Source organism: Homo sapiens, chromosome 5 (assembly GCF_000001405.40).
Source record: "Homo sapiens chromosome 5, GRCh38.p14 Primary Assembly".
NCBI classification, from domain to species: domain Eukaryota; kingdom Metazoa; phylum Chordata; class Mammalia; order Primates; family Hominidae; genus Homo; species Homo sapiens.
This window is the reverse complement of record NC_000005.10, coordinates 80,553,534-80,556,754: the sequence shown is the minus strand read 5'-3', so window position 1 is coordinate 80,556,754 and position 3,221 is coordinate 80,553,534. Positions and strand designations below refer to the sequence as shown.

The following is a 3,221-nucleotide window of genomic DNA, read 5'->3' as shown; positions in this document are numbered from 1 at the left end:
TTTTGGTTACTGATTTTTATTTATCTTTCAAATACTAATGATATTTCAACATAATTTCAAGAGCAATTGTGCCACATGCTACTTTGAATAAATAGAAAACTAAGAAAGAATAACTTTTGTTGCTATTCTCAAACCAACATGAAAAAGATATTTAACAGCATTTTAAAAATGTTTTTTGGCCGGACTCGGTGGTTCATGCCTATAATCCCGGCACTTTGGGAGGCCGAGGCAGGCGGATCACTTGAGGTCAGGAGTTCCAGACCAGCCTGGGCAACATGGTGAAACCCTGTCTCTACTAAAAATACAAAAAATTATGCTGGGCACGGTGGCTCACGCCTGTAATCCCAGCACTTTGGGAGGCTGAGGCTGGTGGATCCTCATGAGGTCAGGAGTTCGAGACCAGCCTGGCCAACATGGTAAATCTCCATCTCTAGTAAAAATACAAAAATTAGCTGGAGGTGGTGGCACGTGCCTGTAATCCAAGCTACTTGGGAGGCTGAGGCAGGAGAATTGCTTGAACCCGGGAGGCGGAGGTTGCAGTGAGTCAAGATTGCGCCACTGCACTCCAGCCTGGGTGACAGAGCAAGACTCTGTCTCGGAAACAAACAAACAAAAAAAAAAAGAAAAAAAAAATTAGCCAGGCATGGTGGTGCGCGCCTGTAATCTATAATCCCAGATACTCAGAAGGCTGAGGCACAAGAATCACTTGAACCCAGGAGGTGGAGGTTGCAGTGAGCCGAGATCGTGACACTCCACTCCAGCCTGGGCGACAGAGCAAGGTTCCGTCTTAAAAAAAAAAAATAAATTTTTTTGACTTTGGGAGCCCGAGGAGGGATCACGAGTTCAGAAGATCGAAACCATCCTGGCTAACACAGTGAAACCCCGTCTCTACTAAAAATACAAAAAAAAAAAAAAAAAAAAACAATAGCGGGCTTGGTGGTGGGTGCCTGTAGTCCCAGCTACTCGGGAGGCTGAGGCAGGAGAATGGCGTGAACTCGGGAGGCGGAGCTTGCAGTGAGCCTAGATCGCACGGCTGCACTCCAGCCTGGGCGACAGAGCAAGACTGCATCTCAAAAAAAAAAAAAAAGAAAAAAAAAAAATTTGGCCATATTTGGAAGAGTTTTAAACCTACTAGCAATCCTAAGAACACTTATGGTGTTTGAGTCTGGTAGTAAAGCCATCTAGTGAGACTTTTCACCCCATTAAGTAAAATATACCATTGTGATCCCAATGGTGGGTCCTATAGATGTTTGCAACAGCAGTTAGGCGTGTATATATGCACATATTTTTAAATACATTTTTGTTATATTTTAACTTCATTTAAGAGTAGATTTAACTTACAGGTATAATGACATTTTATTTATTCGTTTCACAGGTACGATTCTTAGTTACTTGGGACCAGGATTTCCAATGAGTACAGAGTCCTTTTGTCGAGGACAAAGGGCAACTCCAGTTACTGAGAAAGGTGTTGACAGTGCCCATCCAAGCAGTGCCCAGGGAAGGGGTAAACAACTGCCTGGCATATTCTTGGCTGGAAACACACCTATCAGGCATCTAGTAAGTTGAACCTTATAAATTTTCAAATAAAACTACCCTTATTCTGATTAATCACCCACTGTGTAGCCTTTTAATAATTTGATTCCCATATTGTTTGCTTAAAGGAGAGAATAAGCCTGTTAGGCTGGTAAGAGTATTCATCATATCTAATTTTTGTATTTCTTGAGCCTTTGACATCCTGAGACCTTGCCGACACTGGAGGGACAGCCCCTCCCAGGATTAACTAATTCCTAGAGATAGAAAACAGCTCACCCAGGGAGCACACCTTCCATATGCAAAACAACCAATCCAGAGCCCATTCCCCAAACATCTCCTTTATCAGGCTCTCACAGGGCTCTCACACTCTGGGTCGCCATCCCTTGTCCTAATCACCCCAGGGCCAGGAACCAGACAGCTAGAGACAGCTCCTACACCCCAGAGCCCACTGAAGTTATTCAAATGAGCCAACCGGAAACCTGCTTATTTTGCCTTGCCCATTCCTTCCCACCGAAACCACAATAAAGCCCCTTTCCCACCTTTCCCCCTTGCTCCTCCTGCCTCCCAACCAACTTGGGTTCTCCACATGTGGTGCTGCACAGTGTGATCCCCCCCCCACCATCCTTGCCACCAACCCCGTTTCCTCTTGGGAACTGGGAGTAACAAACTCTTTTTCAATATCACTTTGTCGTCTCTTTAGTTTTTGAGAGTCTTGCTCTGTCACCAGGCTGGAATGCAGTGGTGCAATCTTGGCTCACCACAGCCTCGGCCTCCTGGGTTCAAGAGATTCTCCTGCCTCAGCCTCCTGAGTAGCTGGGACTACAGATGCGCACCACCACACCTGGCTAATTTTTGTATTATTAGTAGAGATGGGGTTTCACCATGTTGGCCAGGCTGGTCTTGAACTCCTGGCCTCAAGTGATCTGCCCACCTCAACCTCTCAAAGTGCTGGGATTAGGGGTGGGAGCCACTGCGCTCAGCCAATATCAGTTGTCTCTTGATCTGTTGGCCTCACCATACCTGAATAATAATTAAACCTACTGTGTTGGTCCGTTTTCACACTGCTGATAGACATACCTGACACTGGGCAATTTACAAAAGAAAGAGGTTTAATAGGATTCACAGCTCCACGTGGCTGGGGAGGCCTTACAATCATGTTGGAAGGCAAGACATGGATGGCAGCAGGCAAAGAGCTTGTGCAGAGAAACTCCCATTTTTAAAACCATTTTAAAACCATCAGATCTCCTGAGACCCATTCACTATCACGAGAACAGCACTAGGAAAGACTCACCCCCATAATTCAATAACCTCTCATTGGGTCCCCTCCCACAACACGTGGGAATTATGAGAGCTACAAGATGAGATTTGGGTGGGGACACAGAGCCAAACCGTGTCACCTACATTTTAAAACAAGAAGACATAGTGCAATTGGGGATGATAATATTTGAGCTTATATAGCCTTATGCCAATATTCCTCAGATCCCATTTCTAATTCTCCAAAAGGGCCAGATGGTAGACCATCACAAACCCACCAGATTTATTGGCGCTGCCCACTGGCCTCCCCAAGGACATCCTGTCTCTTTGTGTACCTTCTTTGAATGTGTACAATTCTTTTTTTTTTTTTTTTTGAGATGGAGTCTTGCTCTGTCACCCAGGCTGGAGTGCAGTGGCCTGATCTGGCTCACTGC

At 45.3% G+C, this 3,221-nt stretch overlaps 1 annotated feature.

The window, feature by feature from the left end:
• Positions 1,421 to 2,051: an enhancer, noted in NCBI's record as "OCT4-NANOG-H3K27ac hESC enhancer chr5:79850523-79851153 (GRCh37/hg19 assembly coordinates)". NCBI's record gives its function as "activates a minimal SCP1, AML or CMV promoter by ChIP-STARR-seq in primed H9 embryonic stem cells {active_cell/tissue: H9 hESC(primed)}" and the evidence as "EXISTENCE:reporter gene assay evidence [ECO:0000049][PMID:30033119]".